The 23,048-nt window shown below is 38.6% G+C and overlaps 1 protein-coding gene across 22 annotated transcripts in view; it reads left to right on the forward strand.

Moving 5' to 3' along the window:
* DNAH14 (dynein axonemal heavy chain 14) overlaps positions 1-23,048 on the forward strand; it is a 469,633-nt gene that overhangs the window by 121,454 nt on the left and 325,131 nt on the right. For 20 of the 22 annotated variants that reach the window (XM_011544062.3, XM_011544067.3, XM_017000296.2 and 17 more), the window contains one exon: positions 344-688. The exons of 1 other annotated variant lie outside the window; for it this stretch is intronic. In XM_011544062.3, the coding sequence (XP_011542364.1) occupies positions 344-688 (345 nt within the window). Of the gene's footprint in view, positions 1-343; positions 689-21,065; positions 21,789-23,048 lie in introns of those variants that run through there. One more of the 22 variants, XM_011544074.3, reaches the window with a different exon arrangement.

Here is a 23,048-nt window from a genome sequence, read left to right on the forward strand (position 1 = left end):
GTTGAGGACTGGCCTTTTCTAGGGCTAAGCGTAGTATACTCTAAAACAGGGTAATAAGCAAGGGGATAAATGATTGGTGTTTCCAGTACATGGCTCAAAATAACATGTTAATTATAAAGTTAAATAGCCTAATAAGCCTTTAGGTAAAAGCCAAATATTAGAAAGCCATCTAAATTTCTTAAAGTCTTGTGTTTCCAACATATTTCGATTTTTAATAGAGGTTCTTAAAATAAACTCCACATAGCACTATTATTTTATTTTGTCAGAAACTATTAGCATGCCAAACCATTTTTCACTCTTAAAATAAAAATTCTGACTAACATCTCAACATTCTTCTTTACAGATTGTGAATCTCCTGACTATTATTGGTAATTCAATGGGCCTAGTTAATGCTTACAGCCACAAGTTTATAAAGTATTGTACCATGACAGAAAAGGCCAAAATCATGAGTATGAAAATATCATCTATGGGAGAATTAACTTCAAAAGAATTTGAAGCTATTCTAAATAGATTCAGAAACTATTTTAGACATATTGTGAATATGGCCATTGAGAAGCGTATTGGTATTTTCAACGTTGTAAGTCTTGATTATCAATCAGAATGCTTACTGTATATTGACAACGTCATACATATGAGCCACACCCTCATACAATCTGTAATTGAAAAAAAGAACAAAAATTTATTGGAAGTAAGTATTTTGAAAATTCTTATTGTGTAAGAATGTTTCAGATTAGTAAATTTTAAATTTAAAATATGTACTTAGAGAATATATGATATCATGTCACATGCAGAGTATGATAAAGGTGAAAAAATGAAGATATACATAAATATTATACTCAGAAAATTTTAATGTGTATTACATTTGTTTGTATCTTTGATAAAATATCACTTCCTCAGAAAACCTTCTCTGATCACATCTATTGCATTCCCTATCACTTCCCTGCTTCTTTCCCTGTTTTATCTTTATGACATATATTACTACTGGACATTATGTTATTTATTTGTTTGTTTGTTGATCATCTATTCCATTAGAATGTAAGCTTCATCAAGCTATGGAGTATCTAAGATAAATCTTTGAATACAGATGAATATTGGAGTTTCACTGTATATTAGGGCTGACCTCTTTAAGCAAGTATTCTGGGTGGGCAGATCTCCTCTGGGACCACAGTGGTTTGGAGACTCTATGGAGATTCCCAAGCTGAGAAAGTATGAAGATCTGGGAGCAAGATAACCTGCCCCTTCATTAGTTATTTCTACCTATCATCTATATAAGTTTCTAGGACAGCTTAGATCCTAATAGACCAGCCATTGTCCACACAAGCACCCTCAGTTGTACCTCAGACCTGTTTAAGGGTACGAACTTATAATAATACCTACTATTTGTTCATTTATTAAATCAGACCACAAATATTTGTTGAGCATTGATTATATGCCAGGCATTGTACTAGGCCCCTGGAATATAACCATGAGAGGGATAGATTCAATAGAGTCTAATCTGGAAGAAAATGCTAGCTGAAATACCTAACATAACCCAGGTGAACAATCACAGACAATTTTCTAGAAAAAGTAGTACCATCTAAAGGAGGAGTGGGAGTTGCATAGCCAATGGGGGATGGCGTGGAAACACTGGAAAGAAAGGTTAGAATATTGCAGGAGTAGGTTGATTTAACTTAGATTCAGTTGCGTACGACAGAAAGCAAAAGGTAACAGTGGCTTACACAAGTTTGAAACTAATTTTTCTCTCAGGTAAAATTAGTGGAGAAAGAGACAACATAGGGCTAGTATGGTTGGCTTCACGAAGCCATCAGGGACATAGGATGCTTCTAGCTAACCACTCTGCCTTCCCTGGAGCATGATGCTCATGCACTGGTTATCATATCCTCATTCCAGGCAGCAGGATGGAAGAAGGCAGCAAAGAAAATCTCTGAATTCCACTTTTAAGGATATTTCCCAGGGGTACCCCCACACTTTTGCTTTTATTTTATTTACTAGAACTCAGTTATGTGCCCTCACCTAGCTGCAAGACTGACTGAGAACAGTAGTCTTTTAACTGGGAGCATGGTACCCCACACAAATTCAGGATTTGTTACTAAAGTGGTGAAGGAAAATGAAGTTTGGGGTAGGCATCAAGCAGAAACTGACATCACGAAATGGGGACAGCAAGGGAAAGGTCAAAAGAGAACAAGGCATACCTGAAGAAGACCTGAATGAATCCAATTAGGTGGGAATATAGTCTGTGAAAAGGCACTGGCAAGAGGTGAAGCTAAGAAATGGAGAAAAGGGCCTAGTAAGCCATGTCAGGGACTTGGAACATTATTCTTAAGACTATAGGAATTATTGCAAGGTTTTAAGCAGAGAAGTGACTGATGTAATTTGCATTTTTGTGTGGACCCTCTGGCTGCAGTGTGAAGAATAGATTGAAGTCGGGTAAAACAGGAGGAAAGCTGTTTCCATCATCTAGGGGAGAGGTGATGATAATCTGATTCAGTGTAGTAACAATGAGAACTCTGAGCAATATATAGATATGAGATACATCTAGGACATGAATCAACAGGATATGGCATTGACTGAATGTAAGGTATAAGATAAAGTTAATTATGTTTTCAGGTTTTGGGTTGGGCAACAGGGTGGGCAGCAATGCAAATTATTGGGAGGAGGAACATAGTACTTGTTAAATTGCATAATAATATTCAAGTACGGATAACCAGATATACATGTCTGGGTATCAAGAAAGTGTCTACACTGGAAATATATATATTTAAATGATCAGAAACAAGTGGTTGTTGAAATCAACAGAGTGAATGACAATGCCTTGTTTATGTGTGTAGTGAGACTAGAAGAGAACCTACAATAGAAGCCTAAAGAACCAGGAAATTACAGTTGTTGGGTTCCCAGTGGAGAATCACTGAGAATCTGTGAGTGCTCCCCATGAGACAGAGTCAGCTCTAAACATCTGCCCAGCTCAGAGACGTTAATGCCGGGTCAGACAGTGGCAGGCAGTAAAGACATTTTCTGCCTCCTCTCTCCTTCTGTCTCCTACTATACCCCTGGAGGGGTCAGAAGGTGTGGGTAGGAACTGGAAGTAATTGAATAAATAAAAGGCGTAGAAATATAAAAGCAGCTAATTACATACCCACCTTCTCTACCACAGACATTAATTTTAAATAAATTTTGGAGGCTTGACTGTTATTAATACATGGGGACTTGATATTTAAATTATGGATTTTTAAAATTAAAAGTGACCAGAGGACTTTTATTATCTGTGACCAGAAAAGTCTTGGGTATTGATGTATATTTTATCCAAATGTCCGTTCTTCATTTAAACCCCAAAAAGTGGGAGGAAAAATTAAGTTATTTCATTATAATACTGTCTATAAAGTTCTACTCTTTCAAATTAATGGTTTTAGTATATTATATATTTCCTCTATATCCTTATTTATTTTTGGTGTATCAGACATACATAAATCCTGAAAACCTGTTTAAAACTTCTCATTATAATTATGCTTTAAATGAATTTCTTCTTGCATTTCTGGTGGTTTTTCCTACATATAGTTAGCTTCTATACAGTATGGTTTCTGACTGTTAAATCATCTTCACAAAGCATGTCATTTATCAAAACATTATAGGAATCTTTAAAGTACTTTTAATTTGCCTGATAAAAACTACTTCTGTTTCTTTTGTGTATGTATATTTGCCAAGTTAATTTTTGCCCGTTGCTTTATTTTTTATATTCTCCTTAAGTGTGCTTCTTATAAATAGCATAATTCTGAATTTTGTTTTATAACTCAGTTAATAATTATCTTTTAAAAAGAGAAATCAATCTGTTAGCTTATAACATTTAATGCACTTTTTTTCCATTTCACCTTATATTTTACTTTTTTCTTAAAGTTTTTGTCCTTATTTTTGCTGTATTGATCAGTTGATCTTAAGTGACCTCCCTCTTTTTTTTTTACTGTGTTCATTTTGGGAGTTTTATTCTACTTTTAAATTTCTTTGATGATAATCTTCCCTCTCCTGATTCTCATAATAAAATGTATTTATCTGCTATTAAGAGGAAACAAAATGTTTATCCTCTAAGATGCCGTATTTCTACATAGCATTTCCTCATGCCAGTAAAATGAGATCTCAAGAATGGTGTCGTTTTCTAATTCTCCCCTTCTTCAAAAATGAGATGTTGGAACAAACTAACTCCCACTCCCTTACCCAACAGTTAGTGTTCACTGAGATAGCTTAGTACTTTCAGTTCTAGACTATTACTGAAATAGAAGTATGTCTTTTCTTTATTTGCAGTGATGGGGGCTATAGTGCAGTGGCAATCATAGTTTACTGTAACCTCAAACTCAAGTGATCCTCCCACCTGAGCCTCCAGAATAGCTGGGACTACAGGCATGTACAACCATAGCTAAATTATTTTTTTATTTTTATTTATTTATTTATTTTTATTATACTTTAAATTTTAGGGTACATGTGCACAACGTGCAGGTTAGTTACATATGTATACATGTGCCATGTTGGTGTGCTGCACCCATTAACTCGTCATTTAATATTAGGTATATCTCCTAATGCTATCCCTCCCCCCTCCCCCACCACACAATAGGCCCTGTTGTGTGATGTTCCCCTTCCTGTTTCCATGTGTTCTCGTTGTTCAGTTCCCACCTATGAGTGAGAACATGTGGTGTTTGGTTTTTTGTCCTTGCGATAGTTTGCTGAGAATGATGGTTTCCAGCTTCATCCATGTCCCCACAAAGGACATGAACTCATCATTTTTTATGGCTGCATAGTATTCCATGGTATATATGTGCCACATTTTCTTAATCCAGTCTATCATTGTTGGATATTTGGCTTAGTTCCAAGTCTTTGCTATTGTGAATAGTGCTGCAATAAATATACATGTGCATGTGTCTTTATAGCAGCATGATTTATAATCCTTTGGGTATATACCCAGTAATGGGATGCCTGGGTCAAACGGTATTTCTAGTTCTAGATCCCTGAGGAATCACCACACTCACTTCCACAATGGTTGAACTACTTTACAGCCCCACCAACAGTGTAAAAGTGCTCCTATTTCTCCACATCCTCTCCAGCACCTGTTGTTTCCTGACTTTTTAATGATTGCCATTCTAACTGGTGTGAGATGGTTTCTCATTGTGGTTTAGATTTGCATTTCTCTGAAGGCCAGTGATGATGAGCATTTTTTCATGTCTTTTGGCTGCATAAATGTCTTCTTTTGAGAAGTGTCTGTTCATATCCTTCGCCCACTTTTTGATGGGGTTGTTTTTTGCTTGTAAATTTGTTTGAGTTCATTGTAGATTCTTGATATTAGCCCTTTGTCAGATGAGTAGATTGCAAAAATTTTCTCCCATTCTGTAGGTTGCCTGTTCACTCTGATGGTAGTTTCTTTTGCTGTGCAAAAGCTCTTTAGTTTAATTAGATCCCATTTGTCAATTTTGGCTTCTGTTGCCATCGCTTTTGGTGTTTTAGATATGAAGTCCTTGCCCATGCCTATGTCCTGAATGGTATTGCCTAGGTTTTCTTCTAGGGTTCTTATGGTTTTAGGTCTAACATTTAAGTCTTTAATCCATCTTGAATTAATTTTTGTATAAGGTGTAAGGAAGGGATCCAGTTTCAGCTTTCTACATATGGCTAGCCAGTTTTCCCAGCACCATTTATTAAATAGGGAATACTTTCCCCATTTCTTGTTTTTGTCAGGTTTGTCAAAGATCAGATGGTTGTAGATATGTGGAATTATTTCTGAGGGCTCTGTTCTGTTCCGTTGGTCTATATCTCTGTTTTGGTACCAGTACCATGCTGTTTCGGTTACTGTAGCCTTGTAGTATAGTTTGAAGTCAGGTAGCGTGATGTGTCCAGCTTTGTTCTTTTGACTTAGGATTGACTTGTCAATGCGGGCCCTTTTTTGGTTCCATAGGAACTTTAAAGTAGTTTTTTTCCAATTCTGTGAAGAAAGTCTTTGGTAGCTTGATGGGGATGGCATTGAATCTATAAATTACCTTGGGCAGTATGCCCATTTGCACGATATTGATTCTTCCTACCCATGAGCATGGAATGTTCTTCCATTTGTTTGTATCCTCTTTTATTTCATTGAGCAGTGGTTTGTAGTTCTCCTTGAAGAGGTCCTTCACATCCCTTGTAAGTTGGATTCCTAGGTATTTTATTCTCCTTGCAGCAATTGTGAATGGAAGTTCGCTCATGATTTGGCTCTCTGTCTGTTATTGGTGTATAAGAATGCTTTTGATTTTTGCACATTGATTTTGTATCCTGGGACTTTGCTAAAGTTGCCTATCAGCTTAAGGAGATTTTGGGCTGAGACAATGGGGTTTTCTAGATATACAATCATGTCATCTGCAAACAGGGACAATTTGACTTCCTCTTTTCCTCATTGAATACCCTTTATTTCCTTCTCTTGCCTGACTGCCCTGGCCAGAACTTCCAACACTATGTTGAATAAGAGTGGTGAGAGAGGGCATCCCTGTCTTGTGCCAGTTTTCAAAGGGAATGCTTCCAGTTTTTGCCCATTCAGTATGATATTGGCTGTGGGTTTGCCATAGATAGCTTTTGTTATTTTGAGATATGTCCCATCAATACCTAATTTATTGAGAGTTCTTAGCATGAAGGGTTGTTGAATTTTGTCAAAGGCCTTTTCTACATCTATTGAGATAGTCATATGGTTTTTGTCGTTGGTTCTGTTTATATGCTGGATTACGTTTATTGATTTTCGTATGTTGAAACAGCCTTGCATCCCAGGCATGAAGCCCACTTGATCATGGTGGATAAGCTTTTTGATATGCTGCTGGATTCAGTTTGCCAGTATTTTATTGAGGATTTTTGCATTGATGTTCATCAGGGATATTGGTCTAAAATTCTCTTTTTTTTGTTGTGTCTCTGGCAGGCTTTGGTATCAGGATGATGCTGGCCTCATAAAATGAGTTAGGGAGGATTCCCTCTTTTTCTGTTGATTGGAATACTTTCAGAAGGAATGGTACCAGCTCCTCCTTGTATCTCTGGTAGAATTCGGCTGTGAAACCATCTGGTCCTGGACTTTTTTTGGTTGGTAGGCTATTAATTATTGCCTCAATTTCAGAGCCTGTTACTGGTCTATTCAGAGATTCAACTTCTTCCTGGTTTAGTCTTGGGAGGGTGTGTGTGTCAAGGAATTTATCCATTTCTTCTAGATTTTCTAGTTTATTTGTGTAGAAGTGTTGATAGTATTCTCTGATGGTAGTTTGTATTTCTGTGGGATTGGTGGTGATATCCCCTTTGTCATTTTTTATTGCGTCTATTTGATTCTTCTCTCTTTTCTTCTTTATTAGTCTTGCTAGTGGTCTATCAATTTTGTTGATCTTTTCAAAAAACCAGCTCCTGGATTCATTGATTTTTTGAAGGGTGTTTTGTGTCTCTATGTCCTTCATTTCTGCTCTGATCTAAGTTATTTCTTGCCTTCTGAAAGCTTTTGAATGTGTTTGCTCTTGCTTCTCTAGTTCTTTTAATTGTGATGTTAGGGTGTCAATTTTGGATCTTTCCTGCTTTCTCTTGTGGGCATTTAGTGCTATAAATTTCCCTCTACACACTGCTTTGAATGTTTCGCAGAGATTCTGGTATGTTATGTCTTTGTTCTCGTTGGTTTCAAAGAACATCTTTATTTCTGCCTTCATTTCGTTATGTACCCAGTAGTCATTCAGGAGCAGGTTGTTCAGTTTCCATGTGGTTGAGCGGTTTTGAGTGAGTTTCTTAATCCTGAGTTCTAGTTTGATGGCACTGTGGTCTGAGAGACAGTTTGTTATAATTTTTATTCTTTTACATTTGCTGAGGAGAGCTTTACTTCCAACTATGTGGTCAATTTTTGAATAGGTGTGGTGCTGAGAAGAATGTATATTCTGTTGATTTGAGGTGGAGAGTTCTGTAGATGTCTATTAGGTCCGCTTGGTGCAGAGCTGAGTTCAATTGCTGGATATCCTTGTTAACTTTCTGTCTTGTTGATGTGTCTAATGTTGACAGTGGGGTGTTAAAGTCTCCCATTATTATTGTGTGGGAGTCTAAGTCTCTTTGTAGGTCTCCAAGGACTTGCTTTATGAATCTGGGTGCTCCTGTATTGGCTGCATAGATATTTAGGATAGTTAGCTCTTCTTGTTGAATTGATCCCTTTACCATTATGTAATGGCCTCCTTTGTCTCTTTTGATCTTTGTTGGTTTAACATCTGTTTTATCCGATACTAGGATTGCAACTCCTGCCTTTTTTTGTTTTCCATTTGCTTGGTAGATCTTCCTCCATCCCTTTATTTTGAGCCTATGTGTGTCTCTGCACATGAGATGGGTTTCCTGAATACAGCACACTGATGGGTCTTGACTCTTTATCCATTTTGCCAGTGTGTGTCTTTTAATTGGAGCATTTAGCCCATTTACATTTCAGGTTAATATCGTTATGTGTGAATTCGATCCTGTTATTATGATGTTAGCTGGTTATTTTGCTCTTTAGTTGATGCAGTTTCTTCCTAGCCTCGATGGTCTTTACAATTTGGCATGTTTTTGCAGTGGCTGGTACCAGTTGTTCCTTTCCATGTTTAGTGCTTCCTTCAGGAGCTCTTTTAGGGCAGGCCTGGTGGTGACAAAATCTCTCAGCATTTGCTTGTCTGTAAAGGATTTTATTTCTCCTTCACTTATGGAGCTTAGTTTGGCTGGATATGAAATTCTAGGTTGAAAATTCTTTTCTTTAAGAATGTTGAATATTGGCCCCCACTCTCTTCTGACTTGCAGAGTTTCTGCCGAGAGACCAGCTGTTAGTGTGATGGGCTTCCCTTTGTGGGTAACCCGACCTTTCTCTCTGGCTGCCCTTAACATTTTTCCCTTCATTTCAACTTTGGTGAATCTGACAATTATGTGTCTTGGAGTTGCTCTTCTCGAGGAGTATCTTTGTGGCGTTCTCTGTATTTGCTGAAGTTGAATGTTGGCCTGCCTTGCTAGATTGGGAAGTTCTCCTGGATAATATCCTGCAGAGTGTTTTCCGACTTGGTTCCATTCTCCCTGTTACCAATCAGATGTAGATTTGGTCTTTTCACATAGTCCCATATTTCTTGGAGGCTTTGTTCATTTCTTTTTATTTTTTTTTCTCTAAACTTCTCTTCTTACTTCATTGCATTCATTTGATCTTCCATCACTGATACCCTTTCTTCCAGTTGATCGAATCAACTACTGAGGCTTGTGCATTCGTCACATAGTTCTCATGCCTTGGTTTTCAGCTCCATCATGTCCTTTAAGAACTTCTCTGCATTGGTTATTCTAGTTAGCCATTTGTCTAATTTTTTTTCAAGGGTTTTAACTTCTTTGCCATTGGTTCGACCTTCCTCCTTTAGCTCAGAGTAGTTTGATCGTCTGAAGCCTTTTTCTCTCAACTCGTCAAAGTCATTCTCCATCCAGCTTTGTTCGGTTGCTGGTGAGGAGCTGTGTTCCTTTGGAGGAGGCAAGGCACTCTGATTTTTAGAGTTTCCAGTTTTTCTGCTCTGTTTTTTCCCTATCTTTGTGGTTTTATCTACCTTTGGTCTTTGATGATGGTGATGTACAGATGGGGTTTTAGTGTGGATGTCCTTTCTGTTTGTTAGTTTTCCTTCTAACAGTCAGGACCCTCAGCTGCAGGTCTGTTGGAATTTGCCGGAGGTCCACTCCAGACCCTGTTTGCCTGGGTATCAGCAGCAGACACTGCAGAACAGCGGATATTGGTGAACAGCAAATGTTGCTGCCTGATCATTCCTCTGGAAGTTTTGTCTCAGAGGAGTACCTGGCCGTGTGAGGTGTCAGTCTGCCCCTACTGGGGCTACCTCCCAGTTAGGCTACTTGGGGGTCAGGGAACCACTTGAGGAGGCAGTCTGTCCCTTCTCAGATCTCCAGCTGCATGCTAGGAGAACCACTACTCTCTTCAAAGCTGTCAGACAGGGACATTTAAGTCTGCAGAGGATTCTGCTGCCTTTTGTTTTGGCTATGCCCTGCCCCCAGAGGTGGAGTCTACAGAGGCAGGCAGCCCTCCTTGAGCTGTGGTGGGCCCCACCCAGTTCGAGCTTCCCAGCTGCTTTGTTTACCTACTCAAGCCTCGGCAATGGCAGGTGCCCCTCCCCTAGCCTCACTGCTGCCTTGCAGTTTGGTCTCAGACTGCTGTGCTAGCAATGAGCGTGGCTCCGTGGGCGTAGGACCCTCTGAGCCAGGCGCTGGATACAATCTCCTGGTGTGCCATTTGCTAAGTCCATTGGAAAAGCACAGTATTAGGGTGGGAGTGACCCGATTTTCCAGGTGCCGTGTGTCACCCCTTTCTTTGACTAGGAAAAGGAATTCCCTGACCCCTTGCGCTTCCTGGGTGAGGCCGTGCCTCACTCTGCTTTGGCTCATGCTCGGTGCGCAGCACCCACTGTCCTGCACCCACTGCTGACACTGCCCAGTGAGATGAACCCAGTACCTCAGTTGGAAATGCAGAAATCACCCATCTTCTGCGTCGCTCATGCTGGGAGCTGTAGACTGGAGCTGTTCCTATACGGCCATCTTGGATCCTAGATTATTGTTTTTTAAAGATGGGGTCTTGTTATGTTGCCCAGGCTGATCTCTAACTCCTGGCCTCAAGTGATCCTTTCAGCCTCCTGAATAGCTAGGATTATAGGCACAAGCCACCACACCTGGCTGTATATTCTATTTTGAAAGTCCTTATATAGCACTTAAATTACATACTCCCAGAAAGTTCATCTTCATCCATTTAGCTATATAGACAGGAATGAGAATGTAATGTTTAGAACATTGATTATGATGTGAGACTGCCTATGTTCAAAATCTGTGATCTAGCCATGATGGAGAAACAAAGACTGGACTTAACCTCCTTCCATAAACAACTAAATAAAATAAAGGAAAGAAATACTGGCTGGGTACATTGGCTCATGCCTCTGTAATGCCAGCAATTTGGGAGGCCGAGGCGGATGGAATGCTTGAGCTGAAGAGTTTGAGACTAGCCTGGGCAATGTGGTGAAAACCCATCTCTACAAAAAATGCAAAAAAATTAGTCAGGCATGGTGGTGCACACCTGTGGTCCCAGCTACTCAGGAGACTGAGGTGTGAGGATGGCTTGATCCCAGGAAGTTGAGGCTGCAGTGAGTGGATTGTGCCACTGCACTCCAGCATGGTCAACAGAATAAGACTGTATCTCAAAAAGAGAGAGAGAGAGAGAAAGAAAGAGAAATAAATAAATAAATACCTTCAGACACTGATTAGTGTCTGATTAACAGGTAGTACAGGATTATGATTCTTGAAATCAGGGAAACAAGTGAGAGAGAGGATTTCTGCCTGGGGATAGTTTTTGGACTGCAAATATGTACAGGGAGGGGGAACTGGCCTCAATAAGTTGAGGATATGGCTGAAATTTTTAGGGCAGAGTCCTATAAAGAAGGAAGCTATGAAGAAAAAAAAAGCCCCAGAAATCTGCCCTGGGGTCCTGTGACTCAGTAGGCAGAATGTTCATAGAGTGAAAGTTCACAAAGATGAATTGGAACCACTAATTGTAAGCAGAACAATCTTTTGAAATCACCAAGTTCTCACTGCTCAGAGTGGAGGGTCTCAACAATTATACAAGGCATTCAGTGTGGACCCCAAATGAGTAAACCTTAGCAATAGAGCTAACTATCCCTAAAGGAAAGTCCATTTTATAACTACCCTTCCAAAGATTAAAGATAGACCTCAAAGAGATCAAATTGTTCTGCATTTAATTACCTGAAAAAATGAAAGACAACACTCTTTAAATGAAAACAGCAAAAATCAGATACGTAACATGTAACACTGACAATGCTTGGTTGTCAACCAGAAATTACTAAATATGCCCAGAAGCAGTAAAATGTGACCTACAACTAAGAGAAAAAAAATAAATGGAAACAGAAATGACGAGATGGGGCTAACAGAAAAAGACACTAAAACAGATTATATATTTATGTAGAAGTATTTAAATGAAAACATGAACATAACAGACAAATGAAAGATATTTAAAAAAAGCAAAATAGCAAAACTTAAAGAGATGAAAAATACAATATAGTCATCCTTTTGTATTTGTGGAGGATTTGTTTCAGGGCTCCAAGGATACCAAAATCCATAGATACTCAAGTCCCTTATGTAAATCATGTATTTGCATATAACCTACCTATGCACATCCTCCTGTATACTTTAAATCACCTCTAGATTACTTATAATACCAAATACAATGTAAATGCTGTGTAACTAATTTTTATATGGTAGGTTTTTACTTGTATTATTTTTTATTGTTATAATTTTTTTGTTGTTTTTTAAAAACACTTTCCATTTGTGGTTGGTTGAATCTATGGATGCGAAAGCCACAGACATGGAGGGCTGACTGTATCTTAAATGAAAACTTCACTTGATGAGATTAATTGATTAGACACTGCAGAAAAAAATCTGAACTTGAAATAATAGAAATAGAATCAATTGCAAAGGAAGCACAGGGATGAAAGAAGACTAAGAAATCAAACAAAAACAGAGACTCAGTTGCCTGTGGGATAATACCAAGTGATCTATCATATGTGTAATTATAGTTCTATGGGAAATGAGAAGGTGGAGAGACAAAAGTTATCTGAAAAATGATGAAATAGTTTCCAGATTTGATGAAAAGTATAAACCAATAGATCTGAGGAGCGCTCAATGAAATCCAATGAAAACGAAAAAAGAAAACAATGCCCAAAACATGATAAAATTACTGAAAACAAGTGAAAAGGAGAAAATTGTAAATGCAGCAAGACCTCCTCCCCAAAAAAAGATAAAGAATAAAAAAGAAAAAAAAAAGAAATTTCACAGACTTCTGGTGAGAAATTATGTAAACAAGAAGACAATGGAATAACATTTTTAGAATGAGAAAAATCTCTTTGGATTTTGTGTATCTAACAAAGGACTTGTATCCAGCATACATAAGGAAGAACTCTTACCAGACAAAGTACCAATAAAAATAACAAGACAACCCAGTAAAAAGTGGGCAAAGTATTTGATCAGACATTTAATAAAAGCAGATGACAGATACAACCTGTGCTAAACATCATAGTCATCAAGGATATGTACTTTAAAACTCCAATGACAATTCACTATATAGCCATTGGAATGGCTAAAATTAAAATACTGACAATATCAGATGTTAAAAAGGTTATGGAGAAACTAGAATTTTCATACATTGCAGATGATAATGCAAAATGGTACAGTCACTTTGGAAAACTGGCAATTACTTTTAAAGTTAAATACTCACCATTTAATCCATCAGTTCCATTCCACATTATTCACCCATTAAAAATGAAAACAAGTCCACCCAAAGACTTGCACCCAAGTGGTCAGAGAAGCTTTATTTGCAATTGCCAAAACCTGAAAACAATCCAAGTGTATATCAATAGGTGAACAGATAAGAAAAATTTGATATATTCATGTATTAGAATAGTATGCAGCATTAAAAAAAAGAACAAGCTACTACATGCAACAACTTGGATGAATATCAAAAACATGTTGAACAAAAGAAGCCAGACACAAAGGAGTACCTACTATGTGATTCCATGTACTCATATATGAAACTTGACAAGACAAATTTAATCTATAGCAACAATAACTAGACAGATTGTTTTCTGAAGCCAGGGTTGGGAGGAGATTGGGATGGGTCACAAGGCATCTTTCTAGGACAGTGAAGTTTTCTATATTTTGTTTATGGAGGTAGTTACAAATATGTATGAGTGTGTTAAAACTCATCAAAATAAACAATTAGCATTTTTCTATATACAAATTATGTTTCAGCACAAATGATTTTTTTAAAAACCTAGCTGTTCTGTTTACTATTTGAAGGAAGGTATTAATGTAGATACCCTGTCTGTACCACAGTTTCCTCAAAGGTAAATTGGGGATAATATTATTACCTTACCTAGAATGGTTGTGGAATTAAGTTAATGGTTGCAAAGCTGTTTCTTAATTTTATTTTTTGTCTTTTTGAAAAGTTTTATTGCAAATGAACAAATTCATCATGAAATCTTTGCCCATGCCTATGTCCTGAATGGTATTGCCTAGGACATCTTCCAGGGTTTTTATAGTTTGGGGTTTTACATTGTTGTATATATTTATATTGTTGTATATATTTATAGGGTACAAAGTGATGTAATGATTTATGAACATAAGGAATAATTAAGCTAATTAACATATCCATCATCTCAAATACTTATCATTTTTATGATAAAGACATTTGAAATTTATTCTCTTGGTGATTTTGAAATGCACAGTACACTATTATTAAATATATTCACCATGCTGTGCAATGCATCTCAAAAAAAAAAACCAACAACAACACACAAATCTTACTCCTCCCATCTGAGGCTTTGCACCCTTTGACCATCATTCCATTTCCCCCACCCATAGCCTTTAGTAAACACCATTCTACTCTCTTCTTTTATGAATTCCACTGTTTGAGATACTACATGTAATTGAGAACATGTGATATTTGTCTTTCTGTGCCTTGCTGTGCCTAGCTTATTTTATTTAGCATGTCTTCCAGTTGCATCCATATTGACACAAATGACAGAATGAATTTCTTTTTTAAAGCTGAATAGTATTTTATTGTGTACATATACTACATTTTATTTGTCCATTCATCTGTTGATAGACACATAGTGTCCACAATTGTCCATAAGTGAATAGTGCTAAAAGGAACATGGAAGTGCAGACATCTCTGACATACTTATTTCAGATCTTTTGGGTAAATACCCAGAAGTGAGATTGTTGGATCATGTGGTAATTCTATTTTTAGTTTTTTGAGGAACCTCCATACAGTTTTCCAAAAGGGCAGTATGAAATTATATTCCAAACAACAGTGTTCAACTGTCCTTCTTTCTCCAAATCCTTGCCACATGTACTTTCATCATTTTGATAATAACTATTCTGACAGGTGTGAGGTGATGACTCACTGTGATTTTAACTTGAATTTCCCTAGTGATTAGTGATATTGAGCATTTTTTTCATATATCTGTTGGCCATTTGTATGTCTCCTTTTGAGACATATCTACTTTTTATTGGATTGTTTGTTTTCTTTCTGTAAAGGTATTTGAGTTGCTTATAAATTATCCCCTTATCAGATGTATAGCTTGCAAAATATTTTCTCCAAATTCATAGGTTGTCCCTTCAGTCTGTGAATTGTTTCCTTTGGTTTGCAGAAGATTTTTAGTTTGATGTAATCCTATTCATCTCATTTTGCTTTTGTTGCTTGTGTTTTCAGGGTCATATCCAAGAAATCATTTTTTAGGCCAACATCATGGAGCTTTGCCCCTGTCTTCTTCTAGAAGTTTTACAGTTTTCAGTCTTCATTTTTAAATTTTTAATTTATTTTTATTATGTATTTTTATTTCGATAGTTTTGGGGGTACAAGTGGTTATTGGTTACATGGATAAGTTCTTTAGTGGTGATTTCTGAAATTTTGGTGCACCTGTCAACTGAGCTGTATACACTGTACCCAATATGTAGTCTTTTATCTCACACCCCCCTCCCACCCTTCCCACCTGAGTCCCAAAGTTTATTATATTGTTCTTACGCCTTTGCATCCTTATAGCTTAGCTCCCACTTATAAGTGAGAACATATGATATTTGGTTTTCCATTCCTGGGTTACTTCACTTAGAATAATGGCCTCCAGTTCCATCCAAGTTTCTGCAAAAGACATTATTTTGCTGCTTTTTATGGTTGAGTATTATTCCATGGTGTGTGTATACCACATTTAATTTACCCACTCATTGGTTGATGGGCACTTAGATTGTTTCCATATTTCTGCAATTGTAAAATGTGCTGCTATAAACGTGTGTACATGTGTCTTTTTTTACTTTTAAGTTCAGGGGAACATGTGCAGAATGTGCAGGTTTGTTACATAGGTAAACATGTGTCAAAGGAGTTTGTTATATGGATTATTTCATCAGCCAGGTATTAATCCATTAGTTATTTTTCCTCTCTCCCTCATCCCACTCTCCACCCTCCAGTAGGCCCCAGTGTGTGTTGTTCCCCTCTATGTGTCCATGTGCTCTCATCATTTAGCTCCTGCTTATAAGTGAGAACATGTGGTATTTGGTTTTCTATTCCTGCATTAATTTGCTAAGGACAATGGCCTCCAGCTTCATCCATGTCCCTGCACAGAACATGATCTCATTCTTTTTATGGCTGCATAATATTCCATAGTGTATACATACCATATTTTCTTTATCTAGTCTATCATTGATGGGCATTTAGGTTGATTCCATGTCTTTACTATTGTGAGCAGTGCTGCAATGGATATATGTATGCATGTGTCTTTATAATAGAATGATTTATATTCCTTTGTGCATATACCCAGTAATGGCATTGCTGGGTCAAATGGTAGTTTCATCTTTAGGTCTTTGAGGAATCGCCACGCTGTCTTCTACAATGGCTGAACTAATTTACACTCTCATCAACAGTGTATAAGTGTTCCTTTTTCTCCACAACCTCACCAGCATCGGTTATTTTTTGACTCTTTAGTAATAGCCATCCTGACTGGTGTTAGATGGTAGCTCATTGTGGTTTTGATTTGCATTTCTCTAATGATCAGTGATGTTGAGCTTTTTTTTCATGTGATTGTCGGCTGCATGTAGTGACTGTTGATGTCCTTTACCCACTTTTTTATTGAGTTGTTTGATTTTTCTTGTAAATTTGTTTACATTCCTTATAGATGCTGGATATTAGATCTCTGTTAGATGACTAGTTTGCAAAAATTTTCTCCCATTCTCTGGGCTGTTTACTCTGTTGATAGTCTCTTTTGCTGTGCAGAAGCTCTTTAGTTTAATTAGATTCCATTTGTCAATTTTTGCTTTTATTGCAATTGCTTTTGGCATCTTCATCATGAAATCTTTGCCCATGCCTATGTCCTGAATGGTATTGCCTAGGTCATCTTCCAGGGCTTTTATAGTTTGGGGTTTTACATTTAAGTCTTTAATTCATCTTGAGAAAATTTTTGTATATGGTATAAGGAAGGGGTTCAATTTCAATCTTCAGCATATGGCTAGCCAGTTATCCCAGCATCATTTATTGAATAGGGATTCCTTTCCCCATTGCTTGTCTTTGTCAGGTTTGTTGAAGATCTGATAGTTGTAGGTGTGTGGTCCTATTTCTGGGCTTTCTGTTCTGTTCCCTTGGTCTATGTGCCTTTTCTTGTACCAGTACCTTGCTGTTTTGGTTAGTGTAGCCCTGTAGTGTAGTATGAAGATGGGTAGTGTGATGCCTCCAGCTTTGTTCTCTTTGATTGGATTGTCTTGGCTATTTGGGTTCTTTTTCTGGTTTCACTTGAATCTTTAAATAGTTTTCTCTAGTTCTGTGAAGAATGTCAATGGTAGTTTAATGGAAATAGCATTGAATCTAAAATTGTTTTGGGCAGTATAGCCATTTTCACAATACTGATTCTTCCTATCCATGAGCATGGAATGTTTCTCCATTTGTTTGTATCCTCTCTGATTTCCCTGAGCAGTGGTTTGTAGTTCTCCTTGTAGAGATCTTTTACCTCCCTAGTTAACTGTATTCCTAGGTATTTTATTCCTTTTGTGGCAATTGTGAATGGTAGTTCATTTATGATTTGGCTATCAGCTTGATTGTTGTTGGTGTATAGGAATGCTAGTTATTTTTGCACGTTGATTTTCTATTCTGAGACTTTGCTGAAATTATCAGCTTAAGAAGCTTTTGGGAGGCCGAGGCGGGCGGATCACGAGGTCAGGAGATCGAGACCATCCCGGCTAAAACGGTGAAACCCTGTCTCTACTAAAAATACAAAAAATTAGCCGGGTGTAGTGGCGGGCGCCTGTAGTCCCAGCTACTTGGGAAGCTGAGGCAGGAGAATGGCGTGAACCCGGGAGGCGGAGCTTGCAGTGAGCCGAGATCCCGCCACTGCACTCCAGCCTGGGCGACAGAGCGAGACTCCGTCTCAAAAAAAAAAAAAAAAAAAAGAAGCTTTTGGGCCAAGACAGTGGAGTTTTCTAAATATCGGATCATGCCATCTGCAAACAGGGATACTTTGACTTCATATGTGGATGCCCTTTATTTTTTTCTCTTGCTCAGTTGCCCTGGTCAGAACTTGCAATACTGTGTTGAATAGGAGTGGTGAAAGAGTACATCCTTTTCTTCTGCCAGTTTTTAAGGGGAATGCTTCCTGCTTTTGCCCATTCAGTATAATGTTGGCTGCGGGTTTGTCAGAGATGGCTCTTATTATTTTGAGATATGTTCCTTCAATACCTAATTTATTGAGAGTTTTTAACATGAAGGATGTTGAATCGCATTAAAGGCATTTTCTGCATCTCTTAGATAATCCTGTGGTTTTTGTCTTTAGTTCTGTTTATGTGATGAGTCACATGTATTGATTTGTGTATATTGAACCAACTTTGCATCTTGGGGATGAAGCCTACTTGATCATGGTGGATAAGCCTTTTCAGCCCAGTGCTGCTGGATTCAGTTTCCTGGTATTTTGTTGAGGACTTTTGCACTGGTGTTCATCAAGGATACTGGCCTGAAGTTTCCTTTTTTGGTTGTATCTCTGCCGGGTTTTGGTATCAGGATGATGCTGGCCTCATAGAATGACTTAGGGAGGAGTCCTTCATTTTTAAGTTTTTGGATTAGTTTCAGCAGGAATGGTACCAGCCCTTCTTTGTTCATCTGGTAGAATTCAACTGTGAATCCATCTGGTCCTGGGGTTTTTTTGGATGATAGACTTAATTACTGCCTCAATTTTAGAACTCATTTTTGGTCTGTTCAGGGATTCAATTTCTTCCTGGTTTAGTCTTGGGAGGGTGTGTGTGTCCAGGAATGTATCCATTTCTTCTAGATTTTCTAGCTTATGTCTGTAGAGGTATTCATAATGTTTTCTGATAGTTGTTTGTATTTCTGTGGGGTCAGTGATAATATCTCACTTGTTATTTCTGATTGCATTTATTTGAATACTCTCCCTTTTCTACTTTATTCGTCTAGCTAGCAGTGTCTCTTTTATTAATTTTTTTCAAAAAACCCAGCTCCTGGATTCATTGGTCTTTTGAATGGTTTTTCATGTCTCTTTCTCCTTCAGTTCACTCTGATTTTGGTTATTTCTTGTCTCCTGCTAACTTTGGGATTTGTTTACTCTTAGTTCTCTAGGTCTTTTAGTTGTGATGTTAGGTTGTTAACTTGAGATCTTTCTAGCTTTTTGATGTGGGCATTTAGTGCTATAAATTTTCCTCTTAATACTGCCTTAGCTATGTCTCAGAGATTCTGGTACATTGTATATTTGTCCTCATTAATTTCAAAAAACTTCTTGATTTCTGCCTTAATTTCATTATTTACCCAAAAGTCATTCAGGAGCAGCTTATTCCATTTCAGTGTCATTGTATGGATTTGAGTGAATTTCTTGGTTTTGATTGTGGATTTCATTTTGCTGTGTTGTGAAAGACAGTTTGTTATGATTTCAGGTCTTTTGCATTTGCTGAGGAGTGTTTTACTCCTGATTATGTGATCTATTTTAGAGTAAGTGCCATGCGGTGATGAAAAGAAGTATATTCTATTGTTTTTGTGTGGAGAGTTCTGTGGGTATGTCTCAGGTCCATTTGATCCAGTGCTGGGCTCGGGTTGTGAATATCTTTGTTAACTTTCTGTCTATTAGACATATTGTCAGTGGGGTGTTAAAGTTTCCCACTATTATTGTGGCAAGGTCTCTAGAAACTTTCTTTATAAATCTAGGTGCTCCAGTCTTGGGTGCACATATATTTAGGATAGTTAGGTTTTCTTGTTGAATTGAACCCTTTAACATTATGTAATGTCCTTCTTTGTCTTTTTTATCTTTGTTGGTTTAAAGTCTGTTTTGTCAGAAGCTAGGATTGCAACCCCTGCTATTTTCTGTTTTCCATTTGCTTCGTAGATTTTCTTTCCTCCTTTTATTTTTAGCCTATGTGTGTCATTGCATGTGAGATGGGTCTCTTGAAGACAGCATACCAATGGGTCTTGACTCTTTATCCCAGCTTACCACTCTGTGTTTTTTAATTGGGACACTTAGTCCGTTTACATTTAAGGTTAGTATTGGTATGTGTGGATTTGAACCTATCATCATGATGTTAGCTGGTTATTTTGCAGACTTGTTAATGTGGTTGCCATATAGTGTCACTGGTCTGTGTACTTCAGTGTGTTTTTACAGTAGTTGGTAATGGTCTTTCATTTTTATATTAATGCTTCCTTTAGGAGCTCCTATAAGGCAGGTCTGGTGGTAACAAATTCTCTGAGCATTTGCTTGTCTGAAAAGGGCCTTATTTCTCCTTCACCTATGAAGCTTAGTTTGGCCAGATATGAAATTCTGGGTTGGAACTTTTTTTCTTCAAGTATGTTGAATATTGGCCTCCAATCTCTTTTGATTTGTAGGGTTTCCACTGAGAGCTCCACTGTTAATCTGATGGGTTTCCCTTTGTGGGTGACCTGGCCTTTCTAGCTGCCTGTATGAGTTCATTCTCACACTGCTAATAAAGACATACCTAAGATTGGGTAATTTATAAAGGAAAGAGATTTAATTCACTCACAGTTCAGCATGACTGTGAAGGCCTCAGGAAACTTACAATCATGGTAGAAGGGGAAGCAAGCATGTTTGTCTTCACATGGTGACAGGAAGGAGAAGTGCCAAACAAAAGGCAGGAAAGCCCCTTTTGAAACCATCAAATCTCGTGAGAACTTACTCACTACCACAAGAACAGCAGCATAGGGGTAACTGCCCCCATGATTCAATCACTTCCCACGACATGTGGGGATTATGGGAACTACAATTCAAGGTGAGATTTGGGTGGGGACACAGCCAAACCATATCACCGCCTTTAACATTTTTTCTTTCATTTTGACCTTGAAGAATCTGATGATGTGTCTTGGGGATGATCTTCTCGTGGATCTTACTAGGGTTCTCTGAATTTCCTGAATTTTAATGTTGGCTTCTCTAGCTAGGTTGGGGAAGTTCTCATGGATGATATTCTGAGATATGTTTTTCAAGTTGGCTCCATTCTCTCCATCTCTTTCAGGTACACCAATCAGTCATAGATTCAGTCTCTTTACATAATCCCATATTTCTCAGATATTTTGTTCTTTTCTTTAATTCTCTTTATTCTTGTCTGCTTGTTTTATTTCCGAAAGGCAGTCTTCAAGCTCTGAGATTTTTTTCTCTGCTTGGTTTATTCTGCTATTAATACTTGTGATTGCATTATGAAATTCTTCTAGTGTGTCTTTCAACTCTATCAGGTCGTTACATTCTTCTCTTTACTGGCTATTTTGTCTGTCAGCTCCTGCAATGTTTTAAGATGATTTTTAGCTTCCTTTCATTGGGTTACAATGTACTTCTTTAGCTCAGTGATCTTTGTTCCTGTCCATATTCTGAATTCTACTTCAGCCATCTCAGCCTCAGTCTGGTTCCAGAGTCTTGCTGGAGAGGTATTGCAGTCATTTGGAAGAAAGAGCGCATTCTGGCTTTTTGAGTTTTTAGCATTCTAGAACCATCATTTAACTGATGCTTTCTCATCTTTGTGTGCTTATCTACATTCAGTTTTTGAGGTTGCTGACCTTTAGATGGTTTTTATTTTTCCTTAACAGTCTGGCCACTTTTCTGTAGGTCTGCTTGTGGTATGCTGGGGGTCCACTGCAGTTTCTAGTTGCCTTGGATTTTCCAGTATTTGGAGTTATCGTCAGTGAAGTCTGTGAAGCAGCTAAGATGCCAGCCTGCCCCTTCTCCTGGGAGTGCCATCCCAGGGAGGTAAGGACCAGCTGCCAGCCTGAATGCACCTGCAGGACATGGCTGGAGACCCTAATTTGGTGGTCTCATCCAGTCATGAGGAATGGGATTGGGAACCCACTTAACAAAGTAGTCTGGCCATGTTTTCATAGAGTAGCCATCCTGTGCTGGGGAGTCCACTTCAGCCCCTTGTTGCCTCAGACATGGCAAGGATATGTTGCCAAAACCTCTGTCAGCCAGAGAACACCAGTGGTGGTAGCCAGAGACCCCAGTTGGGAGGCCCCACAGGATGAATAGGAATGGGGTTGGGGACACGCTTAAAAAAGCAGTCTGACCATGTTTTTGTGGGGGTGTTGTGCTGTGCTGGGGTACCACTTTTACCCCCAGTCAGCTGGGGCTCTCTAAAGCCCGAAGGCTGGTACTGCTAAGTTGCCCAAGCAGCAAAGATGGCAGCCTGCCCCTCCCTCTGGGAGTACCATCTCAGGGAGTTTTCAAATCTGTGTAGGCCAGAGAACACTGATGGGGGTGGCTGGAGGCCCTGGTTGGGAGGTTCCATCCAACGACAAGGAACAGGATTGGGAACCCACTTAAAGAAGCAGTCTGGCCATGGTTTTGTAGAGCGGATGTATTGTGCTGGGGTGCCACCTCTGCCCCTGGTCAGCTTGGGCTATCCAGAGCCCAGAGGATGGAATGACTAAGTCACCCAAACAGCAAAGATGGCGGCCCGCTCCTCCCTCTGGGAGCTCTGTCTTAGGAAGTTTGTTGTTGTTGTTGTTGTTTTCAGTTTTTTGTTGTTGTTGTTGTTTGTTTTTGTTTTTGTTTTTTGTTTTTTGACAGAGTCTTGCTCTGTCACCAGGCTGGAGTGCAGTGGCGCAATCTCGGCTCACTACAACCTCCGCCTCCCAGATTCAAGCAATTCTCCTGCCTCAGCCTCCCAAGAAGCTGGGACTACAGTGTGCCACCATGCCCAACTGATTTTTGTATTTTTAGTAGAGACGGGCTTTCACCATGTTGGCCAAAATGTTCTCAATCTCTTGACCTTGTGATCCACCTGCCTCGGCCTCCCAAAGTACTGGGATTACAGGCATGAGCCACCGCACTCAGCTGTTTTAGGAAGTTTTTTTTTTTTTTTTTTTTTTTTTTGAGACGGAGTCTCGCTCTGTCGCCCAGGCTGGAGTGCAGTAGTGGGATCTCGGCTCACTGCAAGCTCCGCCTCCCGGGTTCACGCCATTCTCCTGCCTCAGCCTCCCAAGTAGCTGGGACTACAGGCGCCCGCCACTA

This window comes from Homo sapiens, chromosome 1 (genome assembly GCF_000001405.40).
Source record: "Homo sapiens chromosome 1, GRCh38.p14 Primary Assembly".
Taxonomy (NCBI): domain Eukaryota; kingdom Metazoa; phylum Chordata; class Mammalia; order Primates; family Hominidae; genus Homo; species Homo sapiens.